Source organism: Homo sapiens, chromosome 5 (assembly GCF_000001405.40).
Source record: "Homo sapiens chromosome 5, GRCh38.p14 Primary Assembly".
NCBI classification, from domain to species: domain Eukaryota; kingdom Metazoa; phylum Chordata; class Mammalia; order Primates; family Hominidae; genus Homo; species Homo sapiens.
In genome coordinates, this window is record NC_000005.10 from 19822944 (window position 1) to 19840910 (window position 17967).

General features: G+C 37.3%; 1 protein-coding gene across 20 annotated transcripts in view; it reads right to left on the bottom strand.

Moving 5' to 3' along the window:
• The window catches only part of CDH18 (cadherin 18), a 1104418-nt gene that overhangs the window by 351648 nt on the left and 734803 nt on the right, over positions 1-17967 (bottom strand). For all 20 annotated transcript variants that reach the window (XM_005248228.5, NM_001349562.2, NM_001349556.2 and 17 more), the window contains one exon: positions 15816-16299. In XM_005248228.5, coding sequence (XP_005248285.1) covers positions 15816-16043 — 228 coding nt within the window. In that variant the 5' untranslated portion in view covers positions 16044-16299. The remainder of the gene's footprint in view (positions 1-15815; positions 16300-17967) is intronic.

Consider the following 17967-nt stretch of genomic DNA (forward strand, 5'->3'; position numbering starts at 1 on the left):
AGGGGGCCATTTTAGAGGCCCACCCTCAGGGACGCATTCTCTTTCTCAGGGATGTTCCTTGCTGAGAAAAAGAATTCAGTGATATTTCTCCCATTTGCTTTTCAAAGAAGAGAAATATGGCTCTGTTCCGCCTGGCTCACCGGCGGTCAGAGTTTAAGGTTATCTGTCTTGTTCCCTGAACATTGCTGTTAACCTGTTCTTTTTTCAAGGTGCCCAGATTTCATATTGTTCAAACACACATGCTCTACACAACAATTTGTGCAGTTAACACAATCATCACAGGGTCCTGAGGTGACATACATCCTCCTCAGCTTACAAAAATGATGGGATTAAGAGATTAAAGTAAAGACAGGCATAGGGAATCACAAGGGTATTGATTGGGGAAGTGATAAGTGTCCATGAAATCTTCACAATTTATGTTCAGAGATTGCAGTAAAGACAGGAATAAGAAATTATAAAAGTATTAATTTGGGAAACTAACAAATGTCCATGAAATCTTCATAATCCACATTCTTCTGCCATGACTTCAGCTGGTCCCTCCGTTCGGGGTCCCTAACTTCCCACAACACAATTCAACAAGAAGACATAACTCACCTAAATATACATGCACTCAATATTGGAGCATAGAGATTTATAAAACAAGTACTTCTAGACCTAAGAGAAGACTTAGCCACAATAAAATAGTGGAGGACTTATCACCCCACTGACAGCTTTAGACAGATCATTAAGGCAGAAAACTAACAAAGAAATTCTGAACATAAATTTGACACTGAGCCAATTAGAGGTAATAGACACCTACAAAATATTTCACCCAACAACCACAGAATACACATTCTTCTGGTCTACACACAGAACACACTCTAAGATCAACCACATGCTTGGTCATAAAGCAAGTCTCAATCAATTCAAAAGTATCAGCAGTGTGTTAAACATACTCTCAGATCACAGAGGAATGAAAATAGAAATCAAAACTAGATGATCTCCCAAAACCACACAATTACATGAAAGTTAAACAACTTGCTCCTAAATGACTTTTGAGTAAATAACAAAATTAATTAATAACCTTAACATCACAACTAGGGGAAATAGAAATACAAAAAAAAATAAAAAATAAAAGAATCCCAAAACTAACAGAAGTAAAGAAATAGCTAACATCAAAAGTTTCTGCAATGTGTTGAATTCACGTTTGATGTAGATGCTAAGGCACAGTGGAATAATATACGTGGTCCAATAATTGGATAGAAGATGGCAGATTAGAAGCTCATGTGTGCTCCTCTCACAGAGGGGGAGCAAAACAGGCTAGTGAATACTGACCCTGCAAGCTGATCAACTGAGAAACCACGTCGGGACCCATCAAGGCAGCAAAGTGACACAGAGAGCAGAGAGGAGTAGAGCTAGACACCAGCCTGTCTGGGCTCACCATGGAGACAGGAGAACCTCCCCAGTATGGGAAAGGGTGAGTGATCGAGAGCTCCTAGGGGATTCATGTTCTCCACAGGAACTTGTGCAAGACTGGAAATGAGAGAATCCTCCCAAGTTCCCCATGCCTTCCCCACTACCATGCTTCTAGACAGGCAGAGAGCCACCCGGACATTTTGAAGTGGCAACTTTGGAGTTCAACAAAACTTTTACAAGCCTTGGGTCCCAAAGCAGATGAGCACCAGCACCATATCCCCCGTAGAGGCCCCAGTTTTGGTGCCTGTGAGTAGTAAGATTGCTTCACTCCTCCTAGCTGGATGGGGCTTCACACCAGCTTCAGGCCCAGCAGTCCCACTTCTGTGTGAACTCAGCCAAAGGACACAACCTTCTGTTGTCTTGGAAAACACCCAGATGACAGAGAGGGTGACCCAATCCAACCCTGCAACTGGTAGCTGTGTGGGCAACACTTGCTAGAGCTTCTGGCCCAGTGTCCTTGCATCTGTATGGATTCAACCAGTGGGTACAGTGGGTACAACCTTCTATTGTCCCAGAAAGCACCTGGACAGCAAGGCAGATAATCACACCCATCCCTGGCACTGGTAACCAGGTGGGCAGCACCTGCTAGACCTTTTGACCTAGTGGTTTTACTTTTTTGTGAACTCAGCTGGAATGCACAGCTTCTGGTTGTCCCAGGAAGCATCCAGATAGCAGGGCAAGTGACCTCACCCGCTCCTGCCACTGGTAGCCAGGTAGACAGTGCCTGCTAGAGTTTCCAGTCCAGCATTCCCACTTCTGTGTGAACTCAGCAAGTGGGCACAGACTCCTGTTGTCCCAGGAAGCATCCAGATGGCAGGGTGGGTGACTCAACCCACCCTTGCCTCTTGGAGTCAGGCAAGCAATGCCAGCTAGAGCTTCCAGCACACTGGTCTTATTTCTGCTTATATTTGCCAAGGGAAACAGCCTCCAGTTAACCTCAAAAACACGCAGACAGCAGGAGGGGTAATTCTACCCACTCCTGCCTCTCAAAGCTAGATGGGCTACACCCACTAGAGCTTCCAGCCCAGTAGTCCCACTTCTGCCTGAACTCTGCAGGCAGGTGCAACCCCATGTTCCCCTGGGAAGCACTGGACAGCAGATTAGGGCTGACACCGCAAGGATACAGCCTGTCTGCCAACTGTTGCCCCTGTCTGAGGGAGCTGCATAGACCAGAACACCTAACAAAAGAAACATGGACACAGAGACAGTAATTGAAAGGAGTACATTCAAGATCCAGGGGCAAACTAGATTCAAAGCTTGTCAATAGAATCCACCTTATACAATAATCAAACTCTCAAGGGCATCAAAGAAGATAAAAGCAAACAAAACTTATGCAAAGGACAGCAACTTCAAAGATTGAAAGAATAATAGCCAACACAGATGAGAAAAAAACTAGTACAAGAACTCTAGCAACTCAAAAAGCCAGAGTGTCTTCTTGCTTCAAATGACCATGGTTGCTTCCGGCAAGAGTTCTTAACCAGGATGAAATAGCTGAAATGTCAGAAATGCAATTTAGAACATGGATAGGAATGAAGATCATCAATGTTCAGGAGAAAGTTGAAACCCAATCCAAGAAATCTAAGGAATATAATAAAATGATACTGGAGATAAAAGATGAAATGGCCATTTTAAGAAAGAACCAAATGGAACTAACAGAGCTGAAAAACTCCAAGAATCTCATAATACAATCCCAAGTATTAACAGCAAAATTGACCAAGCTGAGGAAATAATCTCAGACTCAAAGACTGGTTCTCTGAAGTAACAGGCATGAAAAATAAAGAAAAAGCAATATAAGAAAAATGAACAAAACCTCCAAGAAATATGAGATTATGTAAAGAGACCAAATCTATGACTCAGTGGCTCGCTGAAAGAGAGGAAGAGAAATCAAGCAACTTGGAAAACAGATTTGAAGACATTATCCACAAAAACTTCCCCAAACTTGCTAAGGAGGCCAACACTCAAATCCAAGAAAGGCAGAGAATCCCTGTGAGGTACTATAAAGATGACCATTCCCTAAGACACAGTCATCAGATTCTCCAAGTTTGAAATGAAAGAAAAAATGTTAAAGGCAACTAGAAAGAAGAGGCAAGTCACCTACAAAGGGAAACTCATCAGGCTAACAGTGAACATTTCAGCAGAAATCCTACAGGCCAGAAGTGACTAGGGGACTATATTTAGCATTCTTAAAGAAAAGAAAAGAAGTTACAACCAAGAATTTCATATCCAGCCAATCTAAGATTCATAAGCAAAAGAGAAATAAGGTTCTTTTCAGACAAGCAAATGCTAAGAGAATTTGTTACCACCAGACCTGCCTAACAGGAGGTCCTTATGGGAGTGCCATAGATGGAAGAGAAATACCATTACCAGCCAGAACAAAAACACACTAAGTGCATAGATCATTGACACTATAAAGCAACTACACAATCAAATCTGCATAATAACCAGCTAACAACAAAATGACAGGATGAAACCTGCACATATCAATATTAACCTCGAATGTAAATGGGCTGAATGTCCCAGTTAAAGGCACAGAGTGGTAAGTGAGATGAAGAAACAAGACTCAACTCCACGCAGTCAAGAAGTGACCCTTCTTACATGCAATGATACCCACAGGCTCAAAGTAAGGGGATGGAGAAAAATCTACCAAGAAAATGGCAAACAGAAAAAAAGTGAGGGTTGTTATTGTAATTTCAGACAAAACAGACTTTAAACCAATGAACAAAAAAGGCAAAAAGAAAAAGTGTTACATGATGGGAAAGGGTTCAGTTCAACAAGCAGACTTAACTATCTTAAATATAAATACACCAAACAGGATGTCCCAAGTTCATAAAGCAAGTTCTTAGAAATTTACAAAGAGAATTGGATAACACCACAGTAATAGTAGGAGACTTCAACACCACACTGACAATATCGGACAAGTTATCAAGGCAAAAAAAAAAAAAAAACTTAAAATATTTGGGACCCAAACTTGACATTTGACCAAATGAGTTTAACAAATATCTACAGAACTCTCCACCCCTCTGAAAAACAGATTGTAAATTCTTCTCATCTACAAATGACATAAACTGTAAAATCACCCACACAATAAAAAATAAAACAACCCTAAGCAAATTCAAGAATGCTGAAATCATACCAAACATACTCTTGGACCATTGCACAATAAAAATAGAAATGAATACTAAGAAAATTGCTCAAAATCATACAAAGATGTGGAAAGTAAACAGGCTACTCCTGAATTACTTTTAAGTAAACAATGAAATTAAGTCAGAATCAAGAAATTGTTTGATATTCATGAGAAAAAAGATACACCATACTAGAATATCTGGGATACATCTAAAGCAGTATTAAGAGAGAAGTTTACAGTACTAAGTGCCCACTTCAAAACGTTAGAAAGATATCAAATCAAGACTCTGACACCGAAATAAGAGCAAACCAACCACAAAGTTTGCAGAAGATAAGAAATAACCAAAAACAGAAGCTAAACTGAAGGAAATTGATATGTGACACGCCATACAAAACATCAGCATATCCAGAAGTTGGTTCTTTGAAAGAATAAATTAGATTGATAGACTTGTAGCTAGACTAATAAAGTAAAAAAGAGAAAAGATCCATATAAACACAATTAGAAATTACAAAGGGTACATTACCAATGACCCCACAGAAATACAAAAAACCCTCAGTAACTACTACAAACACCTCTATGCACACAAACTAGACAACCTAAAAGAAATGAATAAATTCCTGGAAATATACAACCTCTTAAATTTGAACCAGGAAGAAATTGAATCCCTGAATACAATAATAATGGAATCTGAAATTGAATCAGTAATAAGAGTCTTACCAACCAGAAAAACTCCATGACCACACAGACTCAGAACTGAAAAGATGTATAAGGAAGAGTTGGTACCATTCCTATAGAAACTATTTCAAAAAATTGAGAAGGATGGACTTCTCCCTAACTCAGTCTACAAGGCCAGCATCATCCTGATACAAAAATCTGTCAGATACACAACAAAAACAACAGCAACAACAACAACAACACTGCAGGCCAATATTCTTGATAAATTTATACTCAGAAACTTTTTACATTCAAAAAATACTAGCAAACCAAATCCAGCAGCACATCAAAAAGCTACTCCACCATGATCAAGTAGGCTTTATGCCTGGGATGCATAATTGGTTCAACATTGCAAATCAATAAGCGTGATTCATCACAGCAACAGAAGTAAATACAAAACCAAATAATCATCTCGATAGATGCAGAAAAGGTTTCTGGTAAAATACAACATCGCTTCATGTTAAAGAAACCTCAACAAACGAGGCACTGAAGGAACTTACTTCAAAATAACAGGAGCCGGCTGGGCGCTGTGGCTCATGCCTGTAACCCCAGTACTTTGGGAGGCCAAGGCGGGAGGATCACTTAAGGTCAGGAGTTCGAGACCAGCCCTGGCCAACATGGTGAAACCCTGTCTCTACTAAAAATACAAAAATTAGCTGGGCGTGGTGGCATGTGCCTGTAATCCCAGCTACTCAGCAGGCTGAGACAGAAGAATCGCTTGAACCCAGGAGACGGAATTTGCAGTGAGCCAAGATCATGCCATTGCACTCTAGCCTAGGTGACACAGTAAGACTCCCTCTCAAAAATAAATTAATTAATTAATAAGTAAATAACAGGAGCCATCTATGAAAAATCCATAGTGATCAACATACTGAATGAGCAAAAGCTGGAAGTATTCCCCTTCAGAAACAGACCAAAACAAACATGACCACTCACACCACTGCTGTTCAATATAGTACTGGAAGTCCTGGCTACAGCATTCAGGCAAGAGAAAGAAATAAAAACCATCCAAATAGAAAGAGAGGAAGTCAAACTTTTTCTGTTTGCAAATGATATAATCCTATACCTAGAAAACCCTATAGTCTTTGTCTAAAAGCTCCTAAGTCTGATAAACAACTTAAGCAAAATCTCAGGATAAAAAATCATTGTACAAAAATCAGTAGCACTTATATACAAGAACAACATCCAAGCTAAGAGCCAAAACAATAATGCAATTTCATTCACAATAGTCACAAAAATAATAAATTTTATAGGAATATACCTAATCAGGGAGGTGAAAGGTATTGACGATGAGAATTTCAAAACAATATTCAAAGAAATCAGAGATGACATAAACAAATGGAAAAATGTTCCATGCTCATGGATAGGAATACCTAATATTGTTAAAACGGCCATACTGCCCAAAGCAGTTTACAGATTCAATGCTATTGCTATCAAACTGTCAATTTCATTCTTCACAGAATTTGCAAAAACTATCTGAAAATTCATATGAAACCAAAAAAGAGCTTGAATAGCTTGATGCAGGCATCATGTCACTCAACTTCAAACTATATTACAAGGCTATAGTAACCAAAACAACATGGTACAAGTACAAAAAAATGGACCAAAAGATCAAGGGAACAGAATAGAGAGGCCAGAAATAAAGCCACATACCTACCAACATCTGACCTTTGACAAAGTCGACAAAAAACAAGCAATGGGGAAAAGGCTCGCTATTCAATAAATAATGCTAGGATAACGGTATAGCCATATGAAGAAGGTTGAAGCTAGACTCCTTCCTTACATCATTTACAACAATGAACTTAAAATGAATTAAGGATTTAAATATAAAATCTAAAGCTATAAAAACCCTGGAAGATGACCTAAGAAATATCATTCTGGACATAGGTCCCAGCAAAGATTTTATGATGAAGCTGCCAAAAGCAATTGCAACTAAACAAAAAATGACAAATGGGACCTAGTTAAACTAAAGTGCTTCAGCACAGCAGAAGAAACTATCAACAGAGTTAACAGACAACTTATGCAATGGGAGAAAATATTTAGAAACTATGCATCACACAACGGTCTAATATCCAGAATCTATATGAAAATTAAACAAATTAGAAAGAAAAAGCATCAAAGAACTCCATTAAAAAGTGGGCAAAAGACACAGACATTTTCAAAAGAAGACATATACCCAGCCAACAAGCATATGAAAAAACACACAACATCACTAATCGTTAGATAAATGCAAATTAAAACCACAATTTGATACCATCTTACTACAGTCAGAATAGCTATTACTAAAGTCAAGAAATAAAAAATGATGACAAGGTCATGAAGAAAAGGGAGAACTTATACACTGCTGATGGGAATATAAATAAGTTTAGTCATGGTGGAAATCAGTGTGGCAATTTTTCTAAAAACTTAAAGGAGAGGTACCATTTCACCCAGCAATCCAGGTATTGGGTATATGCCCAAAGGAATATAAATCATCCTACTATAACCACACATATACGCATATGTTTGTCACTGCACCATTAACAATAGCAAAGTTATGAAATCAATCTAAATGCCCATTAAGAGTATCCTGGATAATGACCATGCGGCACATACAAACCATGGAATACTACACAGCCTTGAAAATGTATGAGATCACATCCTTTTCAGGAACATGGATAGAGGTGGAGGCCATAACCTGACACAAACTAACGCAGGAAGAGAAAACCACATACTTCATGTTCTCATTTATAAGTGGTAGCTGAACTTTGAGTACATATAAACACAAAGAAGGGGACAACAGATACTGGAGTCTTTGTGAGAGTGAAGGGTGAAAGGAGGATGAGGATTGAAAAAGTACCTATCAGGTACTATGCTTATTACCTGGGTAATGAAATAATCTGTACAATAAACCCATGTGACACACAATTTACCTATATAACAAACCTAAAATAAAAAATAAAACTACATGTCTTTCTTGACATAAGCCTTGGCAAATAATTTATGGCTAAGTACTGAAAAGCAATCACAAAACAAAACAAAAAGTGACAAGTAACATCTAGTCATACTAAAGAGCTTCTGCACAACAAAAGAAACTATCAACAGAGTAAAGAGACAAACTATAGAATGGGAGAAAATTTTTGCAAACTGCATCCTACAAAGGTATAATATCTAGAATCTGTAAGGAACATAAGAGAAAAAGCAAAAAACAACCCTATTAAAAATGGGACATAAACAGACACTTCTCAAAAGAAGACATACAAGTAGCCAACAAGCATGTTAAAAATATTTATCACCACTAATTATCAGAGAAATGCAAATCAAAACCACAATAAGACACCATCTCACACCAGTCAGAATGGCTATCATTAAAAAGTTAAAAAATAATAGATGCTAGCAGGACTGTGGAGAAAAGGGAACACATACACTCTTGGTGGGAATGTTAATTAGTTCATCCACTGTGGAAAGCAGGTTAGAGATTTCTCAAAGAACTAGAAATAGAACTACTGTTCAAACCATCCAACCCACTAATGGATATATACCCCCTCCCCCAAAATAAATTGTTCTAACAAAAAGACAAATACACCCATATGTTCATTGCAGCACTATTCACAGTAGCAAAGACATGGATTCAATAACTTAGGTGTCCCTCAATGGTGGATTAAATAAAGAAAATGTGACACATATGCATAATGAAATACTACACAGCCATAAAAAAGAACAAAATCATGTCCTTTGCAGCAATGTGGATACAACTGGAAGCCATTATCCCAAGTGAGCTAACACAGAAACAGAAATTCAAATATGTATTCTCACTTGTAAGTGGGAGCTGAACACAAGGTATTCATGGATATAAAGATATGAACATTAGACAGGGGACTACAAGCGGGGGTGAAGTAGAAAGGGGAGGAAGGGTTGAAAAACTACCTATTGATTACTGTGCTTACTACCTGGGTAATGGGTTTGATCACACCCCAAACCTCAGCATCGCACAATATATACATGTAACAAAAATGCACATGTGCCCTTTGAATCTAAAATAAAGGTAGAAATTTTTTCAAGTCTACTTAATATTATTTTATAACGTAAAATATAACTATAGATACAAAAATTTCAATCGAGTTCAAAGATAATTTGGAATAATCTTACCTAATTCATCTATTAAAAAAACATTCTTTTAATACCAGAACTGCATTTTATGAGCATTATTTTAGGTCTGTTGACAAAATGTTTGCTGGCATTTCTGTGACAGGGAGGAATAGAAAAGATACTTCTCAGCTTTTTGGAGTTATCCCTTCTCACGTTTACAGTGATCACAATAATTCTACTTTTTATACAAGACTGCTATGAAATTTCTTTTGGCGTTTTTGTCATGAAGTCTTAGCACACGCCTATGTCCTATATGGTATTGCTTAGGTTTTCTTCTAAGATTTTTATGGTTTAAGGTTTTATATTTAACTCTTTAGTCCATCTTGAGTTAATGTTCGTATAAGGTGTAAGGAAGGGGTCCGGTTTCAGTTTCCTGCATATGTCTGGCCAGTTTTCCCAGCATCATTTACTGTATAGGAGATATTTTCCCTATTGCTTGTTTTTGTCAGATTTGTCGAAGATCAGATGGTTGCAGATGTGTGGTGTTATTTCTGAGGTCTCTGTTCTGCTCCGTTGCTCTATATGTTTTGGTACCAGCACCCTGCTGTTTTGGTTACTATAGGTTTGTAGTATACTTTGAAGTCAGGTAATGTGATGCCTCTAGCTTTGTTCTTTTTGCTTAGGATTCTCTTGGCTATATGGGGTCTTCTTTGATTTCATATGCAATTTAAAATAGTTTTTTTCTAATTTTGTGAAGAATGTCAATGGTAGTTTGATGGGAATAGCATTGAATCTACAAATTACTTTGGGCAATATGGCGATTTTCATGATATTGATTCTTCCTATCCATGAGGATGGAATGTTTTTTCATTTGTTTGTGTCCTCTCTTATTTTCTTGAGCAGTGGTTTTTAGTTCTCCTTAAAGAGGTCCTTCACATCCCTTGTTAGCTGTATACCTAGGTATTTTATTCCCTTTGGAGCAATCATGAATGGGAGTTCATTCATGGCTCTCTCCTTGCCTATTGTTGGTGTAAAGGAATGCTTGTGATGTTTGCATATCGATTTTGTATCCTGAGAGTTTGCTGAAGTTGCTTACCAGCTTAAGGAAATTTTGGGCTTAGATGATGGGGTTTTCTAAATGTAAAATCATGTCATCTGCAAACAGAGACAACTTCAGTTCCACTCTTCCTATCTGAATACCTTTTATTTCTTTCTCTTGCCTGATTGCCCTGGCCAGAACTTCCAATACTATTTTGAATAGGAGTGGTGAGAGAGGGCATCGTTGTCTTGTATTAGTTTTCAAAGGAAATACTTCCAGCTTTTGCTCATTCAATATGATATTGGATGTGGGTTTGTCATGAATAGCTCTTATTATTTTGATATATGTTCCATCAATACCTAGTTTATTGAGAGTTTTTAACATGAACGGATGTTAAATTTTATCAAAGGCCTTTTCTCCATCTATTGAGATAATCATGTGGTGTTTCTCTTTGGTTCTGTTTATGTGATGGATTACATTTATTGATTTGCATATGTTGAACCAGCCTTGAATCCCAGGGATGAAGCTAACTTGATTTGGGTGAGTAAGTTTTTTGATGTGCTGCTGGATTGTTTCTCAGTATTTTACTGAGGATTTTCTCATTGATGTTCATCAGGGATATCGGCCTGAAGATTTTTTTGTTGTTGTGTCTCTTCCTGGTTTTGGTATCAGGATGATGCCGGCTTCATAAAATGAGTTAGGGAGGAGTCCCTTCTTTTCAATTGTTTGGAATAGTTTCAGAAGGAATGGTACCAGCCCCTTTTTATATTTCTGGTAGAATTCAGCTGTGAATCTATCTGGTCCTGGGATTTTTTTTTTTTTTTATTGGTAGGCTATTAGTTACTGACTCAATTTCAGAACTTGTTTTTGGTCTATTCAGGGACTTAACTTATTCCTGGCTTAGTCGTAGTAGGGTGTATACATCCAGGAATTTATCCATTTCTTTTAGATTTTCTAGTTTACTTGCATGGAGGTGTTTATAGTATTCTCTGATGGTAGTTTGTATTTCTGTGGGGACAGTGGTGATATCTCCTTTATCATTTTTTATTATATCTATTTGATTCTTCTCTCTCTTCTTTATTAGTCTAGCTAACAGTCCATTTATTTTGTTAATTTTTTTCAAAAAAAACAGCTCCTGGATTCACTGATTTTTTGGAGGGTTTTCATGCCCCTATCTCCTTCAGTTCTTCTCTGATCTTAGTTATTTCTTGTCTTCTGCTAGCTTCTGGATTAGTTTGTTCTTGCCTCTTTAGTTCTTTAAATTGTGATGTTAAGGTGTCGATTTGAGACCTTTCTAGCTTTCTGATATGTGAATTTAGTGCTATAAATTTCCCTCTTAACACTGCTTTAGCTGTGTCCCAGAGATTCTGGTGTGTTGTCTCATGGTTCTCATTGGTTTCAAATAACTTCTTGATTTCTGCCTTAATTTCATTATTTACCCAGGAGTCATTCAGGAGCAGGTTGCATGAAATTGAAATTGCATGATTTTGAGTGAGTTTTTAAATTCTGAGTTCTAATTTGATTGCAGTAGATGCTGGCAAGGCCCCAGAGAAATAGGAACACATTTACACTGTCGATGGGAATGTAAATTGGTTCAACCATTGTGGAAAACAGTGTGGGAATTCCTCAAGGATCTAGAATTAGAAATACCAGTTGACCCAGCAATCTCATTACTGGATATATACCCAAAGGACTATAAATCATTCTAGTATAAAGACACATGCACATGTATGTTAATTGCAGCACTATTTACAATAGCAAAGACATGGAACCAACCCAAATGCCTATCAATAATAGACTAAATTAAGAAAATGTGGTACATATACACCATGGAGTAGTATGCAGCCATAAAAAGGAATGAGATCATGTCCTTTGCAGGGACATGGATGAAGCTGAAAGCCATCATCCTCAGCAAACTAACACAGGAACAGAAAACCAAATACCACGTTCTCACTCATAAGTGGGAGTTGAACATTGAGAACACATGGACACAGAGAGGGAAAAAACACACACCAGGGCCTGTTGGGGGGTGGGGAGGGAACTTAGAAGACAGGTCAATAGGTGCAGCAAACCACCATGGCACAACCCTGCACGTTTTGCACATGTATCCCTTTTTTTTGTTTGTTTGTTTCTCTGTATTTTTTTAGAAGAAATAAAGAAAAAAAAGAGTACTATGAAAATAATTGGTTCACTATGAATGTATTTATAAATGTGAGGTTAAATTAATTTTCTAAGCAAGTTAAAATAATGGCACAGAAGGGAATTATTTTAAGCATATAGTAATTGCTGAGCTTTGCAGTTTTTAGTTTTTAATTTTTAGTTAAGCATTTATGTTACAGGGGGTGTGTGGGAGAAAAAAAATCTGTACAATTAAGTTAGAATTGCCCATAAAGGCAAATTAGAATAAAGTAGAAAGACTATGAGCGAGGTGTCCCTGGGTCAGATGAGGAATAAGAGGACACACTTTCATGTTTGACCTTTTATACCTGTGCATTTGTCCATCCATACTACAGACAACAGAATAGACAACAGTTTCACAGAACCGCCACAAACCTGAACAGCATCACAAACCTCCATCGCCTCCTGATATGTGAGGAGCTCTCAACCATATGTTCATTGGCACCATATGTTCATTCAATTCCAGAAAGATTGTTTAGAACTGATCTTCCTATTGAGGCTTCATCTTTTACCAAAACTAGGCGAGCCTGAAAAACAAGTTGTCTGAATTTCCCTCCCTTTTCCAGAAAATTTTGTTTCTGTTTCTTAGTTAGATTAAAATTTTAAGAAATATGCATCATAAAATATTTTTAATAATAAAATAGTTTTCCTCTTGGTTTATTCCAAAAAGGGCAATTTTAATGATTCTTTTCTTGTGCTAATTTCAAGGATGGAAAGGATACAGAAAAAGGATTTTGATTGAACTAATTTACACTCCCACCAACAGTGGAAAAGTGTTCCTATTTCTCCACATCCTCTCCAGCATCTGTTGTTTCCTGACTTTTTAATGACCGCCATTCTACCTGGCATTAGATGGTATTTCACTGTGTTTTTTATTTGCATTTCTCTAATGTCCAGTGATGATGTACTTTTCTTCATATGTTTGTTGGCTGCATAAATTTCTTCTTTTGAGAAGTGTCTGTTCATATCCTTTGCCTACTTTTTGAAGGGGGTGTTTGTTTTTTTCTGGCAAATTTGTTTAAGTTCTTTGTAGATTCTGGATATTAACCCTTTGCCAGATGGATAGATGGCAAACATTTTCTCCCATTCTTTAGGTTGCCTGTTCACTCTGATGATAGCTTCTTTTGCTGTGCAGAGGCTCTTTACTTTAATTAGATTTCATTTGTCAATTTTGGCTTTTATTGCCATTGCTTTTTGTGTTTTAGTCATGAAGTCTTTGCCCACGCCTACATCCTGAATATTATTGCATAGCTTTTCTTCCAGGGTTTTTATGGTTATAGGTCTTAGATTTAAGTCTTTAATCCATCTTGAGTTAATTTTTGTATAAGGTGTAAGGTGATTCCTAAAGGATCAGAAATACCATTTGACCCAGCAATCCCATTACTGGGTATATACCCAAAGGATTATAAATCATTCTACTATAAAGACACTTGCACACCTATGTTTATTGTAGCACTGTTCACAATAGCAAAGACTTGGAACCATCCCAAATGCCCATCAATGATAAACTGGATAAATAAAATGTGACACATTTATACCAGGGAATACTATGCAGCCATAAAAAAGGATGAGTTCATGTCCTTTGCAAGGACATGGATGAAGCTGGAAACCATCATTCGCAGCAAACTAACACAGAAACAGAAAACCAAACACCACATGTTCTCACTCATAAGTGGGGGTTGAACAATGAGAACACATGGACACAGAGTGGGAAAAAACACACACCAGGGCCTGTCTGGGGTTGGGGGCTAGGGGAGGAATAGCATTAGGAGAAATATCTAATGTAGATGACGGGTTGATGGGTGCAGCAAACCACCATGGCACGTGTATACCTATGCAACAAACCTGCATATTCTGCACATGTATCCCAGAACTTAAAGGTATAATTTTTTTAAAAAAAAAAGGATTTTGAAGTTCATAACCCAGGTAAATTTCTACTAATCTAATATATTATGCTTTGATGTTATTACATTTTTAAAAATTTATTTTATGAAATACTTGGTAGGGAAAAAAGCATACAATGAAGATAGTTCTTCTGTCTCATTTTAATATGCATATGAGAATATGATACAATTGTTTTAGATCTTTTTTTATGTTCTATATTCTGACTCCACAGCTCCTGCCTTGTATAGAAAATGCAGCTGTAACCCAGTCCCTGTTGGACAAGGGGTGGAACAGATGGCTTGTGATCCTGTACTGCCTACACATTAGGGAAGCGCCACGGCTTAGATGGAATACTATTTTTTTTAGTACTAACAGTGCTAAAGTGAGAATAAATCATCAATCGGGGGATAGAAGCCACTGAGCCTGCAGTCACGGATATTCTACTGCTGTGCTTGCTGTTTCTCCCATAGGTTTTGAACAAACTGAAGTGTGGCTACTTCCAAAAACCAGTAATTAATCAGAAGAAGGCCTCTCCAATTCCCACTTCGTTCTCAATCCTAGAGCCTAGATGACACATGCTTAAACTCTCCCATGTTACTGACCACAAAATTTCCTGAACAGTTTGATCAGCCATTAAGTTTTCGTGTCTGCATTTTTGAGAGAAAGGGAACTTGACCTGAAATAACTGATCATTTTGTTAACTTCATTCTATTGTGATTTTTTTTCAAAGCCTGTATATCCAGTGCATACTTAATCTATATTAAAAGATTTCAATGTTTTTATGAAAATTAACTTTGGGTTTTGAAAAATATTCATATGATTTTAAAGGCTAAAAGTACATCTCTAAAAATTAATAGAGAATATTAGATATTTTCTAATATTTAATTATGATATTAGAAAATATGTGTGATGTTTTCATGATAGAGTGCCTTCTTTTTAGCCACATGTGCAGGAGCAATATGTGAAAATAGCAGTAAATGTCAGTGTGCGAATAAGTGACATGTGAATTCCAATATACCTTCAAGGTAATAAAGAAAAAATTACTTAATTGTGTGTTCCATTAAGTGTTTCCAACTTACAAGAGAGAACAGAAAAAGTAATATGCTTGTTATGAATATGCAGTCTTGTACATATGGGCCAATGTTTAGAGAGGTATAATATGATGAATAATGTTTTCTTTTTACAATAATTATTTTGAGCTCTCTAGTATAAGTAGTAGTTTCTATAGCGTAATTCACTCTACAACATAATTTGCTTCATTTGTCTATCTCTTCAAATATTTCTCCAACATGAGCTCATCTTACCCCACAATTTCTCAGGATAGAAAAAACAGCAAAATAAACAAAATCTTACCTTTCCAACATACTGAGGATCTGGTCCCATATGTTCTTCTAAAACAAAGAACTGATTCCATACCCATCCCCTTTTGGGACGATGATGGACTTCGGTTTCACCTTCAATGTGTTTGGTTTGGTTTCTCATCACCTTGATGGAGCTGTGGTGAGCAGTTCCATAACACCTCTGCACAAAACAGAGACACACTAGGACTGGACAGATGCAAGATGTGCTAGTAATTTTCATTGTAAGATAACTTTCCAGTTCACAGTTTTCCTTCCTTTCCTTGTCAGCTACGAAAGCTTAGTGAGCATTCAAGAGAGAAGCCAGAGCATCTTTAGGAAGGACAGTCCAAAGTAAATTGTTTAGCGTGTCCATGATTTAACTGTCCATCAGGGAAAGGTCAGATCATATTTACATTCTGAACCACTTGGAAAATCAAAGCCGTAGTTGTCTGATTCCAACTCTTCACAGTAGTTGAACACAAGCAACCATTTTCAACCTAATGGAAAGAGAAAATTATATGTGTTACAAAACACGGTTTTTTTAACTATTTGCTCTGAATACAAATGATACTATTTTGCAATGTGATACTGATAGGCAAAGAACATATGCAAAATCTCTAGGACACATCCACAAACCTATACACCTATATGTCTACATGCATTTTTACATGAACCTTCCTGTCTGTACCATTAATTCTCAATGACAAATATATGTATAATTCTTGTTTTTGTTAGACATAATACAAATTTGTTATATATACTACACATGAATTACCTACTGTATAAGACTCATCAAATTTTGACAAAATATCCCAAGGGCTGAAAAATTGTCACAGACCATAACAGCAATCAAATAGGTACTTAAAGTGCTCAGTAAGTAAAGTGGAAGAAAATAAAAGATCAAAGAAAAAGGTGGCTGAAAACAAAAAGAATGCAACTTAAAATTACTCCAGGTTTGGGGAACAGATTGGTAAAGTTGGGTGTGAGTGACAATGTCAATTGGCTGAATTATAGATTGTGTAAATTTTGATAGGTCCTGCATATCTACCCCGGGTATGAACTTCACACACAGACAAGGCAGATTTTCAAGTTTGGGAATTACATTACTAGGCTTGATTTCTAGTACACATAATTCTAGCAATTATCTAAAGACAGGATTAAAGAAAGAAAAAAATAGCGGTAAATAAACAGAGGAAAAATGTTTTGATTTTTAAAATTAAAAGAAGTTGAAGGCCGGGTGGGGTGGCTCACGCCTGTAATCCCGGCACTTTGGGAGGTCGAGGTGGGCAGATCACAAGGCAAGGAGATCAAGACCATTCTGGCTAGTACAGTGAAACCCGTCTCTAGTAAAAATAAAAAAATAAAAAAAAAAATGAGCCGGGCTTGGTGGCGGTCACCTGTAGTCCCAGCTACTCAGGAGGCTAAGGCAGGAAAATGGCGTGAACCCGGGAGGTGGAGCTTGCAGTAAGCCTAGATCTGAGATCGCACCACTGCACTCCAGCCTGGGAGACAGAGTGGGACTCCGTCTCAAAAAAAAAAAAAGAAAAAAAAAAAAACAACACGTTGAAGACATGAGTGTAGGTTATACTATGATTGGGCAACAAAGTAAAACACGAAAAACATTTCTGAAAAACTAATGACAGGATATGGGAGAGAAAAGAATGACTGAAATTTGGGCTGGGTGCAGTAGCTCACGACTGTAATCCAAGCATTTTGGAAGGCTGAGGCAGGCAGATCACTTGAGGTCAGGAGTTTGAGGCCAGCCTGTCCAACATGGTGAAATCCCATCACTACTAAAAATACAAAACTAGGTGGGCATGGTGGTGCACGCCTGTAATCCCAGCTACTCGAGAGACTGAGGCAGGAGAATCGCTTGAACCCAGGAGATGGGTGTTGCAGTGAGCAGAGATCATGCCATTGTACTCCAGCCTGGGCAACAAGAATGAAACTCTGTCTCAAAAAATACAATAAAATAAAAAGAATGACTGAAATTATAAGCTTATTTAAAGAATATAAATTTTGCATCAAGTTTTGCTGTAGTATTATATATGTGTGCTTGAATATATGTTTAGGAAGATTACATTGATTCACGAATATGGCTATTTCATTTAATAAAAAGTACTAAATAAATCACTTTCTCATTGAATGCAATTCATCCCTGCAAA